At 39.4% G+C, this 16,996-nt stretch overlaps 1 protein-coding gene and 1 pseudogene across 1 annotated transcript in view, besides 4 other annotated features; one reads left to right on the top strand and one right to left on the bottom strand.

Moving 5' to 3' along the window:
- Window positions 1-16,996, bottom strand: part of CYB5B (cytochrome b5 type B) — a 41,646-nt gene that overhangs the window by 13,130 nt on the left and 11,520 nt on the right. Inside the window, exons 2-3 of the mRNA NM_030579.3 lie at window positions 5,857-5,985; window positions 4,991-5,020 (exon numbers count right to left, since the gene is read on the bottom strand). Coding sequence (NP_085056.2) covers window positions 4,991-5,020; window positions 5,857-5,985 — 159 coding nt within the window. The remainder of the gene's footprint in view (window positions 1-4,990; window positions 5,021-5,856; window positions 5,986-16,996) is intronic.
- Window positions 8,632-8,891: an enhancer, noted in NCBI's record as "active region_11039". NCBI's record gives its function as "activates an Ori minimal core promoter by ATAC-STARR-seq in GM12878 lymphoblastoid cells {active_cell/tissue: GM12878}" and the evidence as "EXISTENCE:reporter gene assay evidence [ECO:0000049][PMID:35858748]".
- LOC100420066 (transmembrane protein 111 pseudogene) lies at window positions 8,843-9,908 on the top strand (annotated as a pseudogene).
- Window positions 8,922-9,001: an enhancer, noted in NCBI's record as "active region_11038". NCBI's record gives its function as "activates an Ori minimal core promoter by ATAC-STARR-seq in GM12878 lymphoblastoid cells {active_cell/tissue: GM12878}" and the evidence as "EXISTENCE:reporter gene assay evidence [ECO:0000049][PMID:35858748]".
- Window positions 9,348-9,630: a silencer, noted in NCBI's record as "fragment chr16:69477408-69477690 (GRCh37/hg19 assembly coordinates)". NCBI's record gives its function as "represses an EF-1alpha promoter that drives an FKBP-Casp9 reporter gene in an ReSE screen in HepG2 liver carcinoma cells {active_cell/tissue: HepG2}" and the evidence as "EXISTENCE:reporter gene assay evidence [ECO:0000049][PMID:32094911]".
- Window positions 16,560-16,609: a silencer, noted in NCBI's record as "silent region_7661". NCBI's record gives its function as "represses an Ori minimal core promoter by ATAC-STARR-seq in GM12878 lymphoblastoid cells {active_cell/tissue: GM12878}" and the evidence as "EXISTENCE:reporter gene assay evidence [ECO:0000049][PMID:35858748]".

The raw sequence follows: 16,996 nt of genomic DNA, 5'->3' as shown, positions 1-16,996 counted from the left end.
GCCTCTATGGAGACAATTTTATTTGTTTTAAAAAACAGATCAAATCCTTCGAAAGCAAATGTCATCACATCAACACTTTCATCTATGGAATACTAAATATCTACTTAAAAAATGAGAAAGATCTTTTTTTTTTTTTTGAGACAGAGTCTCGCTCTCTCACCAGGCTGGAGTGCATTGGCACAATCTCGGCTCATTGCAACCTCCGCCTCCCGGGTTCAAGCGATTCTCCTGCCTCAGCCTCCCGAGTAGCTGCGACGACAGGTGTGCACCACCACGCCCAGCTAATTTTTGTATTTTTAGCAGAGACAGGGTTTTACCATGTTGGCCAAGATGGTCTTGACCTCGTGATCCACCCAGCTGGGCCTCCCAAAGTGCTCGGATTACAAGCGTGAGCCACCGCCCCCAGCCCAAAAGATGTTAATAAACTGACAAGAAATAATGATGAATAAAAAAAAAATTTTTTTTGAGACAGGGTCTCGTTCTGTCACCCAGACTAGAGTGCACTGGCACAATCTTGGCTCACTGCAACCTGTGCCTCCCAGGTTCAAGCCATTCTACCGCCTCATCCTCCCATGTAGCTGGGACACCACCATTCCCAGCTAATTTTTGTATTTTTAGTAGAAACGGGGTTTCGCCATGTTGGCCGGGCTGGTCTCGAACTCCTGGCCTCGTGTGATCCGTCCACCTCAGCCTCCCAAAGTGCTGGGACTACAGTCGTGAGCCACAGTGTGCAGCCAACAAATAAAATTTTTAAGTAAAGAGAAGCAAGGTGAAGAATAGTATGTATGAGGCTTTTTACCTTTTTTTTTTTTTTTTTTTTTGAGGCGGAGTCTCGCTCTGTCGCCCAGGCTGGAGTGCAGTGGCGCGATCTCAGCTCACTGCAAGCTCCACCTCCCGGGTTCACGCCATTCTCCTGCCTCAGCCTCCCGAGTACCTGGGACTACTCAAATTTTGGGCCTCCCCAAATGCTGGGATTACAGGCTTGAGCCACCGCGCCCGGCCAGCTTTTTACTTTTTTAAAGGAAATGATGGTTGGTTTGTCTGTCTATCCATCCATCCATCCTTATGAATGCATGGAATCTTTGGAAGAGTAAACAACAACAAAAAAATGATGGCTGGTTACCTCCAGGGAAGGGGAACTAAAAGTCTCAGAGCTGGATATACGAGGGAATTTTTTTTTTTTTTTTTTTTTGAGACGGCGTCTCGCTTTGTCGCCCAGGCTGGAGTGCAGTGGCGCGATCTCTGCTCACTGCAAGCTCCACCTCCTAGGTTCACGCCATTCTCCTGCCCCGAGTAGCTGGGACTACAGTTGCCCGCCGCCACGGCCGGCTAATTTTTTGTATTTTTAGTAGAGACGGGGTTTCACCATGTTAGCCAGGATGGGCTCTATCTCCTGACCTCGTGATCCGCCCGCCTCAGCCTCCCAAAATGCTGGGATTACAGGCGTGAGTCACCGCCCCCGGCCAACTTTTTTTATAGTATACTGTTTTGAACTATTTAAATTTTTTTTTTACCATGTACATTTTATAATACTCACTCAAAAAAAATGTAATGGGGAACAGGTCAAATTACTAGACCTATTTGACTACAAGATTTAACTAGTAAAGCAGTTGAACTATTATCTAGATAATATCTGTTGAAGAAATGAATGAAATGGTGCCCACTTTTTTAGTCAGGTTACGATTTGTATGCACTTTATCTCTTGAACTGATGGCAGATTAAGTGATAAAACAGCTAACCAAGAAGTAAATACATCATCAAAGAGAGAATTCATAGACCACGAATATTTATAGGTTACTTGCTAAAGAGCAGGCAAGCAGGCAGGCAAACTGGCACAGAGAGCACTGAGTCTGTTTCTAAGGTGAGTTTCCGTAACCAAAAACAAACCAGAAAAATGTTAAGTCAAATATAAGTAGGAGATTGACGGCTCTCAGCATGAGGGTTAATCCAGCAAGGAAGAGATTCACAAAGACAAATGGTTTTTAATTCTAGTTAGTTATTTTTGATTGAAGCGGGTTAAAAAAAAATCTGTTGCTACATCTTTAAGTTTTTAAGTCTTTACGTTTTTAGTATATTAATTCTGGGCCTTCAACTCAGGTACTATCCATCTAACAATAAAACAATGGTGACCATTAATTATTTACCTGTGTTATAAAAGTAATATGAAAGGTGTTTTCTAAAAGAATTAGGGAATGGTTACTGACTTACACTTTGGAATAGCAACATTTTGAGTGTTTCTTTCTTGGCGGGCAGTAGGGATGGTGCAGTTCAGACAGGGAGTAGAAGAAGGAGAAGAAGGAAAATGGAAATGAAAACTCTCTCCCATAGGCTGAAGATACTTTTTAATTTGACTTTTAAAAATCACTTCTTCATAAAGATTCAGAAACCATGAACCAAGAGAAAGGAAGGTAACCAATGAAATGAACTCCATTTCCATTTCTTAATGGTGAATGTTTAAACCAGATAAAGTATGGAGAAGAGAGATACCTACATCCTAGACACCAAGTCCCTATTTAAACCTCTGTAAGAAATAAATCTGAGAGATCAAGAATTTCTTCCTGGAACTGAAGTCAGGTTGGAATATAGCTCTATAAAAACCTATGTAGGTGGTCTTGAAAATGTTCCAAAAGGCCTTTCTTGCCTGATCTGCCTGAAGTAGAGCAGAGTGACTAGAAACACAATAGCCAGACTCTCTACTTAATGAAGACATGTCCCTTGAGTACAGTGACATGAGGAAAACAGGATTGAAAACACTGCCTTTAGTCACTTTTTAACCCAGATAGGGGCTAAACTACATTTGGAGACTTCTAAATTATTATAGAACTTGGTGAGCTTAAATGCTTTCTTTTTCTATCTTTCTTACAAAAAAATCTAAGGCTCAATAGTTTTTTGGGTTTTTTTTTTTTTTTTTTTTTGAGATGGGGTCATGCTGTGTTACCCAGATGGAAGTGCAATGGTGTTACCATGGCTCACTGCAGCCTCAAACTCCCGGGCTCAAGCTATCCTCCAGCCTCAGCCTCCCCAGTAGTTGGGACTGCAGGCACACATTATAATGCTCAGCTAATTTTATGATTTTTAAAAAATAGAGACAGGGTCTCACCATGTTGCCCAGGCTGGTCTCCAAGTGCTGGGCTCAAGCCATCCTCCCATCTCAGCCTCCCAAAGTGTAGGGATTACAGGCGTGAGCCACTGCACCTGGATGGCTCAATAGTTTTAATTCAGCTGAGAAATCTCTAATCCTTTGGCCTATAGAAGGCAGACAATGCTTACCACAGAAGAGAATTAAATTTTCCTAAGTTTTCAAATGAAAAGATGGGCATATCATTCAGCAAAAAGTTTGGGCTTAGCTACCTACTTATCACCTAGATTACTTAAATTGCAAATTCCTAAACCCTATCTCCAGAGATTCCAAAGCAGTAGGAGTAGAAGCCCAAGAAATAAACATTTCCTATATATATTCATGTACATACCAAGGGATTCCAACTGAGGTGATACAAGAACAGAATTTGGGGAACATTGTTCTACATTCCTAAGAATGGTCCTAACTGTACTACCAAGAAAGAAAAACAGCAACAAGAAGCAATCTGTAGACTTCTAGACATTGTAATTGCAAACATATTTTTTCTATTGTTTTAATATAAAAGATGCTCTCATAGTTGCTGTGCAGAAATGTGTTATGGCTCCTATATCCTTTGAATCAGATGTTGACCTCTGAAAGTGGTATTTTCTGGACATGTTCAATATACAAATCAAGGCCACGCTTCGTTCAAATTTTACCATAATAACACAAGTTATTAAGAGTAAGCAACAACAAAAAATGATGGCTGGTTACCTCCAGGGAAGGGGAACTAAGACACTGAGAGCTTGAGACAGGAAGAAACTTTTTACAGAATACTGTTTTGAACTATTTAATTTTTTTTTTTTAAGGATTCAAGAATGGATAGTACATGTGTTAGGAGGAGAGGACAAACAACCAACAGTTGTTACAAAGTGTTTTAAGAACCATTTCATTCCCCTTTCAGAAACAATTCAATAGTTCAGAGTAGCAGTCTAGCAACATGGAAGAGTTAATTTACACAAACACTCTGGATTGCAGGGCAACAGATGGCAGACACTGTTAAGCAAGCAATCTCTTGAGTTAATAGAATTCTTGTGTCTAGGCCAACTTTAATTGCTGTGTCAAACCTATTCAGTAATTTCGGCTCAATGAGGAATGGGAAGCAAGCAGCAAGGAGGAGGAAAATGGAAGGGAGGCAGCATCACTTTCCTATGTTCTAGGTGGCACCTAAACTGCTGTCCCTTTAAATTAGAGTGCTGTGTACCAGCTATCTGAAGGACAGAAATTAAGGAAAATTGTTAGGGAATAAGGGAAATGAACCACCTAGCATGTGGGAGGCAGAAAATGGTTCCATATTTTCTTCCTGGTATGCAATGTAGTACACATTAAAGTTTTCAAACACTCAAATACTTAGTCTTTTGTTTTCGCTGTATTACTAAGTAACCGGGAAGGGTGTGGGCCTGTTTGAGCCTACAGGAAAAAAGAATTAAATTTGGAAAATAAGTACAGAAAGGCCTCTGTATTACAGATAAAGAAGATAACCTATAAGAAACAAAACAACTTTGCAATTATTTTTTTCCAACACAGAAACAATTATTATCACTTGTCCTACATAATGTAAAAGTAAGATATTTTTCCACAACTGAACCCATAAACTAATTTCTTTCAAAACCACACAGGGCATAGCTTTGGAGTTTCAGTTAAAAAAAAAAAGCGTATAAAGGCATTAGCAAAATGTTTCCTACTGTTCAAGACTCAGCTATTCTTTTATTCCTGAGATGATACTGAGTCCAAATTCCAGAAAAATAGGATTTTTGCTTGGGGAAAAAGTAAATACTTTGTAACTTCTCTTGTTAAGAAAAAATGTTTCAAAAAGCAGTCCTACTTGAGTAAACACAAATATAAACACAAGACAAACCGCTGACTTCTTACCTTGCTACCACTTTCAGGTTTAAGGTCACTCTGTCAAAAAAAGGAAAACAAATAATATTTTAAGACATAGCCAAATGAATTCTCACTATATGCTTGTTTCTAACTTTGGAACATGAGACTATATTCTGGTGATAGTGAATTCCCTGGGAGATTTGAGGATCCATAGAAAGATACCTCTACTCTGAGCATATCAGAGTCCCTTGTTAGAATGGTATATATGGATAGTTTTTAAAGTCCATAATTACTACCTTTAGCAAGGAGCTTGCAAAAACAAGCAAACCACTATTTTAGGTAAAGGTGTTATTAACTGCATTACAAAAATAAATCAACACATAAAAATAATCCAGAATCAGTTCCCTTAGCTTTTTAGAGATATTACATGTGCTACCTGGCAAAGAAGAAGCTATATCCTAGCACAGTAAGACTAGACAATTTTGGAGAAAATTTAGCCTGATGGCTAGATTGAATGAATTTCCATTTTAATAATTTTTTTTTTTTTTTTGAGACAGAGTCTCGCTCTTTCACCCAGGCTGGAGTGCAGTGGTGCAATCTTGGCATACTTCAACCTCTGCCTCCCAGGTTCAGGCAGTTCTCGTGCCTCAGCCTCCTGAGGAGCTGGAATTACAAGTGTGCGCCACCACACCCAGCTAATTTTTGTATTTTTTAGTAGAGGTGGGGTTTCACCATGTTGGCCAGGCTGGTCTCGAACTCCTGACCTCAAGTGATCCGCCTGCCTTGGCATCCCAAAGTACTGGGATGACAGGTGTGAGCCACCACGCCCAGCCAATAATTCATTTCTTCATCCTGTTCTGCAGCTGTTAAGTAGTTTTCTCTGCATAAGGGCTCCCATCTCTGATAGTTCTTACCGGATGGATATCACCAATGTAGTACTGCTTTAGCATTTCTCTGGCATCAGAAGAGTGTCCTACATCTTCAAAGCTTTCACTTGCATCTACACCAGCTTGTTCCAGCAGAACCTCTTCTCCTCCAGGGTGCTACAAGGAAAAGATATTTACTGAACCGAGGGTTCTCTGAAAAGCAAACCAACAAGTTACTTTCCCATACCCCCTTCTTCCTTTCTCCCTTTAATAGAAATAATGGAACAAATTGACATTGTGTGGTGCCTGACAGGATGCAATGGGAAGAACACAGCATAACTTCTGTGATACTGTGGTCAAAAATGCATCATATGGGGATTACAGTGAGGACACCTGGGACAACCACAAATTTAGAAATATTCTACAAAATCTTTCTGGACAGGTCTGGCCTGTGATCTCTAAAGATACCACAGTCATGAAAGTCAAAGAAAGAGTGAAGAAACTGTTCCAGATTGAAGGAGGCTAGAGATTCATGACAACTGGGAATAATGGGTGATCCTAGGTTGGTTCCTTTTGCCAATATTATTGAGATAGCTGCAGAAACCTGACTAAGGACTCCAGGCAAAGGGTATATGCAATTCTTTATTCTATTCTTGCAACTTTTCTGTAACTTTGAAATTGTTTCAAATTAAAAAGTTAACTAGGCCAGGCACGGTGGCTCATGCCTGTAATCCCAGCACTTTGGGAGGCCAAGGCGGGCAGATCACTTGAGATCAGGAGTTCAAGACCAGCCTGGCCAACTTGGTGAACCCGTCTGTACTAAAAATACAAAAAGTGCCAGGCATGGTGGTGGTGGGTGCCTGCAGTCCCAGCTACTCAGGAGGCTGAGGCAGGAGAATCACTTAAACCTGTGAGGGGGAGGTTGCAGTGTGCCAAGATCACGCCACTGCACTCCAGCCTGGGCAAAAGAGTGAGACTCTGACTCAAAATAAATGAATAAATAAATAAGTTAACTATATAAAGTAGTGCCTCAGGAAGTAGATTCTATAACTATCAGCTATGTGACCCTGCACAAGTTATTAAAAAATTGAGATGTCTTTAGTTCCTTAGTTGTAAAATGGAAATATTAATAAGAGTACCTGTCTTGACAACTATTGTACATATTAAATGAGATAAGCATATAAAACACTTTGCACTCCAGAAGAGCATAATATAATACCATCTACAATTTTTAAATGAAGATATATATATGCATATTTATACCCATGCATAAAATCTCTCTGAAAATGGTGAAAGAACCTAGTGGCTGGGAGATAGGGTAGAAGGAAGACTTCACCACATACTCTTCTGAAAAAAAATTTTTTTTTTTTGAGATGGAGTTTCGCTCTTGTTGCCCAGGCTGAAGTGCAATGGCACAATCTCAGCTCACCGCAACCTCTGCCACCCGGGTTCAAGCGATTCTCCTGCCTCAGCCTCCCAAGTAGCTGGGATTACAGGCATGCGCCACCATGCCCAGCTAATTTTGTATTTTTAATAGAGACGGGGTTTTTCTCCATGTTGGTCTCGAACTCCCAATCTCAGGTGATCCACCAGCCTCGGCCTCCCAAAGTGCTGGGATTAAAGGTATGAGCCACCATGCCCAGCCTCTGAAACTGTTTTACCAAATAAAGCATTACTTACTCAGAAAATTAACCATTTTGTAAAATTATATTTAGCACAGTCCTTGACTTAAATACTCAAAAAACATTTACTTAAATTAGCAAATTTAGAATTTATATTATTTAATATATCAAAATTTGTATTTTTGAAATATTAATGCTTTTTACTTTTTATAACAACCATTTCAGCAGGAATAAATTATCATTCCTATTTTAAATAAATGTTAATTCAATTGAAGTATAAAAACTGTAAGTGTTACTTCCCAGTCATAGTCACCAGCCTATGAGCTCCCTGAGGATAAGGATAACTTCTATTTTTATCTCCTAAAAGGTCTCCACCCAGTGAGTGGGTCTCACATCCCAGTATTTAAGAATGCTATTTTACAGCAAGAGTAAGACAGCCACGATTCACTTGTTATTATATCTGAAACTCTCAGGTTATTATATGTGAAACTGTTCTTTGTTGTGGAACTAAGTCATCAGTTCTGGAATTATGTCCCAATTTGTTCTATACACCTAAACTATGGATGATATTTTTTCCTTTTGACACAACCCAACTATTGTGTTGCCTTTCAGAGTAAAAGGACAATAAAACTCCTTCATAGATTACAACATTTCAGGGAATGACTGAATTTTTGACTTGCTACACAGTTCTTTCTACAAGTACTTTCACTTTCATCAGTCTCTCACCACTTATAAACAAGAGAAAGCACAACACTTTTTTAAAATATTAAGTAAAAGTTATATATTCGCTGTGGTAAATTTGGAAAAAAGAATAATCAACTAGAGTCCTGGAACAGAAATAAGTCCAGTTAACAATTTGGTGCATAAAACTTCATTTTTCCTGTGTATTCTTTCAATCATTTCAGCCATTAGTCTACAATTTTTTATTGAATCCTTACTATTTTGTGTGGTAGGCAGTGATAAATAAAAGTTTTTTGTGTTCTCACAAAGTGAATTCATGTAGTACATAATGTTTTGTAGCCTGCTTCTTTTTTTTTTTCACTGAAGCAAGTGGGGGTCAGAGTGATCAAACAAAATTCTACGGTTTAATAACTTTCACTCTAAAATATGGTCTTAATAGAGATGGCTTAGAACAAGCAAAAAGACGTCAGGGAGCTTTTGGTTTCTGTTTAGAACTCTATAGTCTCCAGATAGAGTTAGCGAAAATCAAATGGATGCAGGGCTGCCATGGGCCACTGGCAGCCCAGCTGGAGGAGTTGGAATCACTGCACTAGGCCCGAGGCTATAGCAGGGTCCTGGCCAGTCTTAGGCCAAGATAATGCCCAGGCTGAGGAGCATACGAAGGCCTCGACGAAAACCCAAAGAGCCCCGGCACCCCAGGAGAAGCCAGACCAGCTCTCAGTGAAGACAGAGGGTAGGAGCTACTGTCCAACTCCAGCGTCAGCCACTGGATGGTCCCGCCCATGTTTATCATCTGCTTCTTCTCAGATATGATCTGCCACTACATGTTCATCCTGGTACAGAGCGACAAGAAGCTCACCCAGGAGCAAGTATCTGACAGTTAAGTCCTAATTTGAAGCAGAGCCTTCAGTGAAAATGGAAATTACATTCCCAAAAAGTCTTTTTCTTGACATGAGAATATTACATCAACAACCCAGAGGATAAAAATATCACCACTTCCTCCCACTATGCTCTCAGGCATGATGAAAGGAAATATAACAAACGTCATCCCTATGATTCTTACTTGTGAATGGATCAACATTGACATACTCAGGCATTGTTGCAACCAAGGTCCTATTTCCACTGACCCTCTGTTTTTTGTTGTTGTTGTTTGTTTGTTTGTTTGTTTTGAGACGGAGTCTCACTCTGTTGCCCAGGCTGGAATGCAGTAGCACAATCTCGGCTCACTGCAACCTCTGCCTCCCAAGTTCAAGCGATTCTCCTGCCTCAGCCTCCCAGGTAGCTGGGACTACAGGTGCCTGCCACCATGCCCAGCTAATTTTTGTGTTTTTAGTAGAGACAAGGTTTCACCACGTTGGCCAGGCTGGTCTCGAACTCCTGACCTCAGGTGATTCACCCGCCTCGGCCTCCTAAAGTGCTGGGATTACAGGCATGAGCCACTGCACCCGGCCGACCCTCTGGTTTTAAGCCTATGCTGCAGCAAGTTATCAAACTACTCACATTAGATCCACCCTGAATGAGCTCTGCATCCTGGTATTTCCTCAACGTATTTGGGCTTCAGAGAATTTACTGTGATTCTAGGCCAAGATAATGGCAACTGACCAATAAGAAATGAGGCAGGAGCAGATGACCAGAGCAGCCATGGCCATGCCCACAGAAACCAGCAAAGCTTCCAAGACAAAGTAGAAAGTTCTGGAGCTGATGGGTCACCAGTGGACACCAGATGATGTCAAAGAGCTCATGGGCAAAGGCCTTCACTTTGAAGTTATGTTCAAAAAGGAGTTACAAGACCAAGTGCCATGGCTCACGCCTGTAATCCCAACACTTTGGGAGGCTGAAGAGGGCGGATCACTTGAGGCCAGGAGTTTGAGACCAGCCTGGCCAACGTGGTGAAACCCTGTCTCTACTAAAAGTACAAAAATTAGCTGGGTATGCTGGCGCTCACCTGTAATCCCAACTATTCGGGAAAACCACTTGAACCCGGGAGGCGAAGTTTTCAGTGAGCCACAATCGCACCACTGCACTCCAGCCTGGGCAATACAGTGAAGCTCTGTCACAAAAAAAATTTTTAAAAAAGCCTCTATTTTTTGAAGACCAAGTAGTAAAAATTAGCTCTGCCAGAACTTGGAGTAGTCCTTAACCTGCTAACTTGTGTTTGAGCTAGAGACTCTCAGAATTTAAAAAAAAAAAAAAAAAAAGGATAGCTAGGCACAGTGGCTCACACCTGTATTCCCAACACTTTGGGAGGCCAAGGCAGGAAGATTGCTTGAGGCCAGGAATTCAAGACCAACCTGGGCAACCAAGCAAGACCTTGTTCTCCACAAAAAAAATTTTAAAAATTAAAAAATTATCCAGGCATGGTGGCCTGTAGTCCTGGCTACTCAGGAAGCTGAATTAGGAGGATCATCCAGAAGCCAAGGAATTCGAGGCATGGCGCCACTGCACTGCAGCCTGGGCAACGGAGACCCTGTCACTAAAAAAATTAAAAATACATAAATATTAAAAAGTAAAAAATAATAATTTAAAAAGAAAGATATATGAGCCGCTGAGCATGCAGCAAGGATCATTCTTATCTGAGCCAGGTTTCCCTTTATGCCTGAAACTAGAAAAAATGCAGTGTGTGTGCTGGATGATTTACAGGGAAAGAGCCATTTAAAAAATGTTTTACATTTTCCTTCTGGTGACTCTAGAAATGAGAGGCAGAGAAAGGGGAAAACTTAAGCTAGCCAAAATATAAACATTTACCAAAAATTCAATCTTTGAAAAAGCATTATTATTTTCTGAAAGATTTCATGTAAACAAAGAAAGAAAAAGCATTATTAATTATAACTAATTATTATATGCAGTCTGACTTTTAATCACAGTAAGCTCCTATTTTGAGATCCAAGCACCCTGCATTTTTATATTTAATTGTTAGTATTTTTATAACTTTCTTTACAAAAGTAATAATTTTCATTACCAAAAATTTAGAAACTATAGATAAGCAAAATGAATCTCCCTGTATTGTTCATTCTGAGCCTACAGGATGACATGAAGAGCAAATACGTGAAAACTTCATTCACACAAACTCTTTTCAGACAGATTATCCAGGGCCAGGAAAAGTAGCAAACCTTCTATATATTTTAATACTATCCAGGGAAAATTAGTGACCCTGACATACTGCCAGATCTATTTCCCATCTAGGGAACTTTCAGGATCATCAAAGACAGGTTAAGTAATGGGAAGTTCTTGATCTAGAGTTGAGAATATTATCAAACCCACTGAAAAAAAATGAGTTTCTATACTGTATATGTCCAGTCAGTTGAACTAAAAACCCCAGATATTCTAGATAAGAGTTTACATAACTTTTTAAGAAGGCAGAGAGATCAACTGCTGGCAGACATCTAGGTGAGGGTTGCACAGGAATTTTTCTGTCTGGAATAAATGTCCAGGGAAGTGGCAGGGTACCATTTCTGTATCAACAGGTAGATGAAATTTGCATAATGAGCACTGTAATCAAGAAGAAATGACTCTTGACTACAAATTAAACCATCTCGCTTTCTCTTTAAGAAATAAATCAAAGAGAAGTAAGGACAGTCGTGGTGGCTCACGCCTATAATCCCAGCACTTTGGGAGGCTGAGGCGGGCGGATCACGAGGTCAGGAGACCGAGACCATCCTGGCCAACATGGTGAAACCCTGTCTGTACTAAAAATACAAAAAATTAGCTGGATGTGGTGGCATGTGCCTGTAAGTCCCAGCTACTCAGGAGGCTGAGGCAGGAAAATCACTTGAACGCGGGAGGCGGAGGTTGCAGTGAGCTGAGATTGTGCCACTGCACTCCAGCCTGGGCAACAGAGCAAGACTCCATCTCAAAAAAAAAAAAAAAAAAGAGAGAAGTAAAACTGGGAAATCAGAATAATATCTGTGGACTGATTAATGTCAATATCCTGGTTGTGATACCATACTAAAGTCTTGCAAAATGTTACAAATGAGAGAAGAGTACAAAGGATCTCTATCATTTCTTACAACTACATATGAATCTACAATTATCTCAATAAAAATTTCCATTAAAAAATCAAATGAAGGCCAGGCACGGCGGCGCAGGCCTGTAATCCCAGCAGTTTGGGAGGCCAAGGTGGAAGGATCGCTTGAGCCTGGGAGTTCATGACCATCCTGGACAACATAGTGAGACACTATCTCTTTAAAAAAAAAAAAATCAAATGAGATCCCCTAATATATACTAAAGAGAAATGTGTAATAGATATATGTATTTACACACACACACACACACACACACGCAACACACACGGCCATAGCAGCATTATTCATTACAGTCCCAAACTGGAAACAGCCCAAACATCTACAGCAGAGTATGTACAAAATGAGATATAATCATACAATGGAATCCTAATCTGCAATGAAAAAGAACGAACCACTGCCACATACACAACACATGAGAATGCAACATGTTGAACTGAAGAAACCAGACACAAAAGAATATATACTGTGAAATTTCCATTTATAAAAAGTTCAAACACAGGCAAAATGAATCTATGCTGTTATGGTAATACAGTGGGTACCTCTGGGGATGAGGAAGAACCAGATGGTGGTTATACAAGTGTGTTCACTTACTACAGTGACATCTTATGGCTAAATCTCAAAAATATAGGCAGTATGTAAAGTAAATTCATAGAAACACAAAGTAGAATGTGATTGCCAGGCACTGGGGAAGGAAAAAAAGGGAATTTGTTTAATGAGTATAGTCTCATTTTTGTAAGATGTAAAAGTTCTAGAGATCTGATTCACAACAATATTCAATATTCAATATTTAAAACAATTGAATTGTACACTTAAAAATGTTTAAGATGGGCCAGGTGCAGTGGCTGAGGCCTATAATCCCAGGACTTTGGGAAGCTGAGGCAGGAGGATCACTAGAGGCCAGGGGTTGGAGACCAGCCTGGGCAACACAGCAAGACCCCGATCTATATTAAAAACAAACTAAAAAAATTGGCCAGGTGTGGTGGTGCACATCTGTAGTCCCAGCTACTTGGGAGGCTGAGGCAGAAAGATTGCTTGAGCCCAGGAGTTCAAGGCTACAATGAGCTACAATCACACCACTGCACTCGAGCCTGAGTGACAGAGCAAGACCCTGTCTTTAAAACAAACAAATGTTTAAGATGGTAGATTTTGGCTCACACCTGTAATCCCAGCACTTTGGGAGGCTGAGGCAGGTGGATCACTTGAGGTTGGGAATTTGACCCTAGCCTGGCCAACATGGTGAAACTTTATCTCTACTGAAAATACAAAAATTAGCTGGGTGTGGTGGCCCGCTCCTATAATTCCAGCTACTCAGGAGGCTGAGGCAGGAAAATCACTTGAACCTAGGAGGTGGAGGTTACAGTGAGCAGAGTTCATGCCACTGCACTCCAGCCTAGGTGACAGAGTGAGACTGTCTCAAAAAAAAGATGGTAGATTTCATGCTGTTTTTATCATAATATAAACTTTTAAGTAAAATACAATTAAAAAAAGAAACAGGCCGGGCGTGGTGGCTCACAACTGTAATCCCAGCACTTTGGGAGGCCAACGTGGGCGGATCATGAGGTCAGGAGTTCCAGACCATCCTGGCCAACATAGTGAAACATCATCTTTACTAAAAATACCAAAATTAGCTGGGCCTGATGGCGGGCACCTGTAGTCCCAGCTATTCGGGAGGCTGAGGCAGTCGAATCGCTTGAACCCAGGAGGCGGAGGTTGCAGTGAGCCAAGATCGAGCTCCCATTTGATTTTTCACAAGGATGCCAAGTCTATTCAGTGGAGGAAAGAACAGTCTTTTCAACAAATGATGCTGGGAAACTGGATTTCCACATGCAAAGGAAAGGTTGAACCCCTACCCCACACCATATTACAAAAATTAACTCAACAACCTAATATAAAATATCAACAACCTAAATATAAAAGCTAAAATCATAAAACTCTTAGAGAAAACATAAGGGTAAATGTTCATGACCTTGAGATTGACAATGGATTCTTAGATATGATACCAAAAGCATGGGCAACAACAAAAAAAAACAGATAAATTGGACTCCATCAGAATAAAAACTTTTGAGCATCAAAGGACATCAAGAGTAAAAAGACAATCTACCAAATGTGAGAAAATATTTGCAAATCATATATCTGATCAAGAATTAATATCCAGAATATATAAAGAACTGTAACCTAACAATAAAGACACTCCAATTTAAAAGTGGGCAAAGAGCTCTCTCGCTCTCTCTCCTTCTCACATTCAAATTTACAAAAAGGCAAAGAACTCTAGTAGACATTTCTTCAAAGTAAATACACAAATGACCAATAAGAAGATGAAAAGATGTGCAATATCAGTAGTCATTCAGGAAATGAATTCTGTCAGAAAGGGACTCCCCACACCAAAAAAAAAAGAAATGAAAATCAAACCATAACGAGACACCACTTTACACCTGCTAGGATGGCTACAATTAAAAAAAAAAAATCGAAAAATGGGATCTTTGTACATTGCTGGTGGGAATATAAAATAGTGCAGCTGCTGTGGGAAACAGTTTGGAGGTTCCTCAAAAAGCCAAACATAGAATTTCCATATGACCCAACAATTCCACTGTTAGATATGTCCAAATGAATTAAAAACAGATTCACACAGATACTTGTACACCAATGTTCACTGCAGCATTGTCCACAACAGCCAAATGGTAGACAACCCATGCCTATAAACAGATGAATAGATACACAAAATGTGGTATATACATAAAATATTATTCAGCCTTAAAAATGAATGAAATTCTGATACATACTACAACATGAATGAACCTTGAAGACATTATGCTAAGTAAAATAAGCCAGATACAACTGGACAAATATTGTTGATTCCATTTATATTCTAGAGTAGTCAAATTGATAAAAACAAAAAATAGAACTGTGATTACCAGAGGCTGGGAAGAGGGGGAAATAGGGAGTTATTTAATAAGTACAGAGTTTCAGTTTGGAGTAATGAAAAATTCTGGAGATAGATGGTACTGATGATTGCACAGCAACATGAATGTACTTAATGCCATTGAACTGTATGCTTAACAATTAATAAAATGGTAAATAAAAATAAAACAAAACACATTATGCTAAGTGAAAGAAGCCAAATACAAAATGACAAATATTATTTGATTCCATTTATATGGGGTACCTAGAACAGGCAAATTCAATAGAGACAGAAAGTAGATGAGAGGTTAGCTTGAGTTTGGGGAGAGGAATACGGAGTTATGGCTTGATGGTTAGAGTTTCTGTTTGGAGTGGTAACGAAAAAGTTTTGGAAATAGATGGTGGTGATGACTGCATAACAGTGTAAACGTAATTAACGCCACTGAATTATACAACTAAAAATGGTTAAAATGGCAAATTTTGTTATCTATATTTCACCACAATAAAAGAAAGAGTAAAGTTAGGTTTATATATCTATAATTAATATAAACTAAAAATGTGCTTTTGTCTGAATCCTAACAAAACAAGATAGAAGTGTATTGGGGGGGTTATGCTCAGTAGTCTAGATTAGTTGTCTGTACTATTCAAATCTACTAGACACTCAAAAATTCCTCCCTACTTTTTATTAAGTAAACCTAGTAAGACAGTAGATATTTCCCATTTTTTTCTAGGATTTGCTTTGTATTTAAACCTCTTGTGAATTTGCAAAAAAACATTCTTCCAACCTGAATAGCCTTTGTACTTTAACACTAATGGACTCTTTGTCTACTTAATATTAATATTATGTACGCAGTTACACAATATTACAAATGAAATGTTTCAAATAAACTATACTGCAACCGAAATTATAAACTGCCAAAAAAGATGAAACAATGATTGTGATCTATTCATTTCTGTCTAAATCAAGCAATAATAATCAAGTGAAATACTTTACAGCTACAAAGGAAATTGTGTAATGTCCTCTTGTGAAAAATTTTATCCAGTTCAACTGTCCAAAGAATATGTGATAGTAGGGGAAATCTACTGACTTTTCCTTAAGTTCATTTACTTTACTAAGTATTTTTGGAGAGCAGACAGAAAATCTATGTTTCAACAAAGAAGAGGACAAATTCCTTATGGAAAATAATACTTCCAGATTACTAATTCTATGGAAATAGGGGACTGATGGGCAGAATAGAGGAGAATGTGAAGAATGGCAGTTACAGAATAAAAATCTTGTTGGAAAAAAAATTACACAAATTATCTGTAGGTGGAAATTCCATAGTGATGTAATAAAAATATAACAATGGAGATATACTAGAGATCACCTGACATGGAAAATGAAATCCAGAAACATTAAGATTGAGGAAGTGCAAAATTAGGCCTAGTGATGAAAAGGGGGTCCTCTAGCCAAACACATTACCTCATCAAAATAAAACATGGAGGTTAAAATTTTAGAGAAGACAAAAACTACTTCCTAAAAAACAGTCTGCAGGGCAGAGAAAGATAACAGACCTGGGGGGTGAACAGGAGGAAACGGTGCAGGTCTATAGGTATTTGCATTTGGGTTAGAATGAGCCTGATAAGAAAAGGCTGTCACCTAAGAGAGGCAAACCAGCTGGCTGCCAGGAATGGTGTAACCTTGGCAGGGTCTGAAGTTCAGGTCTGCAGATCCAAACATAACTTGACATCCTTATCCCCCCAGACGGGGTCCCACTGCACTGATTCTCACAATGCCATATGTACCTTCATGATATTTATGTATCACAATTGCAATTATTTATTTAATATCTTTCTTCTCCATCAGACTAGATAAACTCCATCGGGAACAGAGACCACGCCTGTCCCATTCATGGCTGTTTTAGAACACAGCATGGTGCCTGGAACATAATGGGAGCTGGGAGTGAGCACACACACTGCTCACAA

This window comes from Homo sapiens, chromosome 16, assembly GCF_000001405.40.
Source record: "Homo sapiens chromosome 16, GRCh38.p14 Primary Assembly".
NCBI lineage: Eukaryota > Metazoa > Chordata > Mammalia > Primates > Hominidae > Homo > Homo sapiens.
The sequence above is the reverse complement of the archived record's forward strand: the minus strand, read 5'-3'. Positions and strand labels throughout refer to the sequence as shown.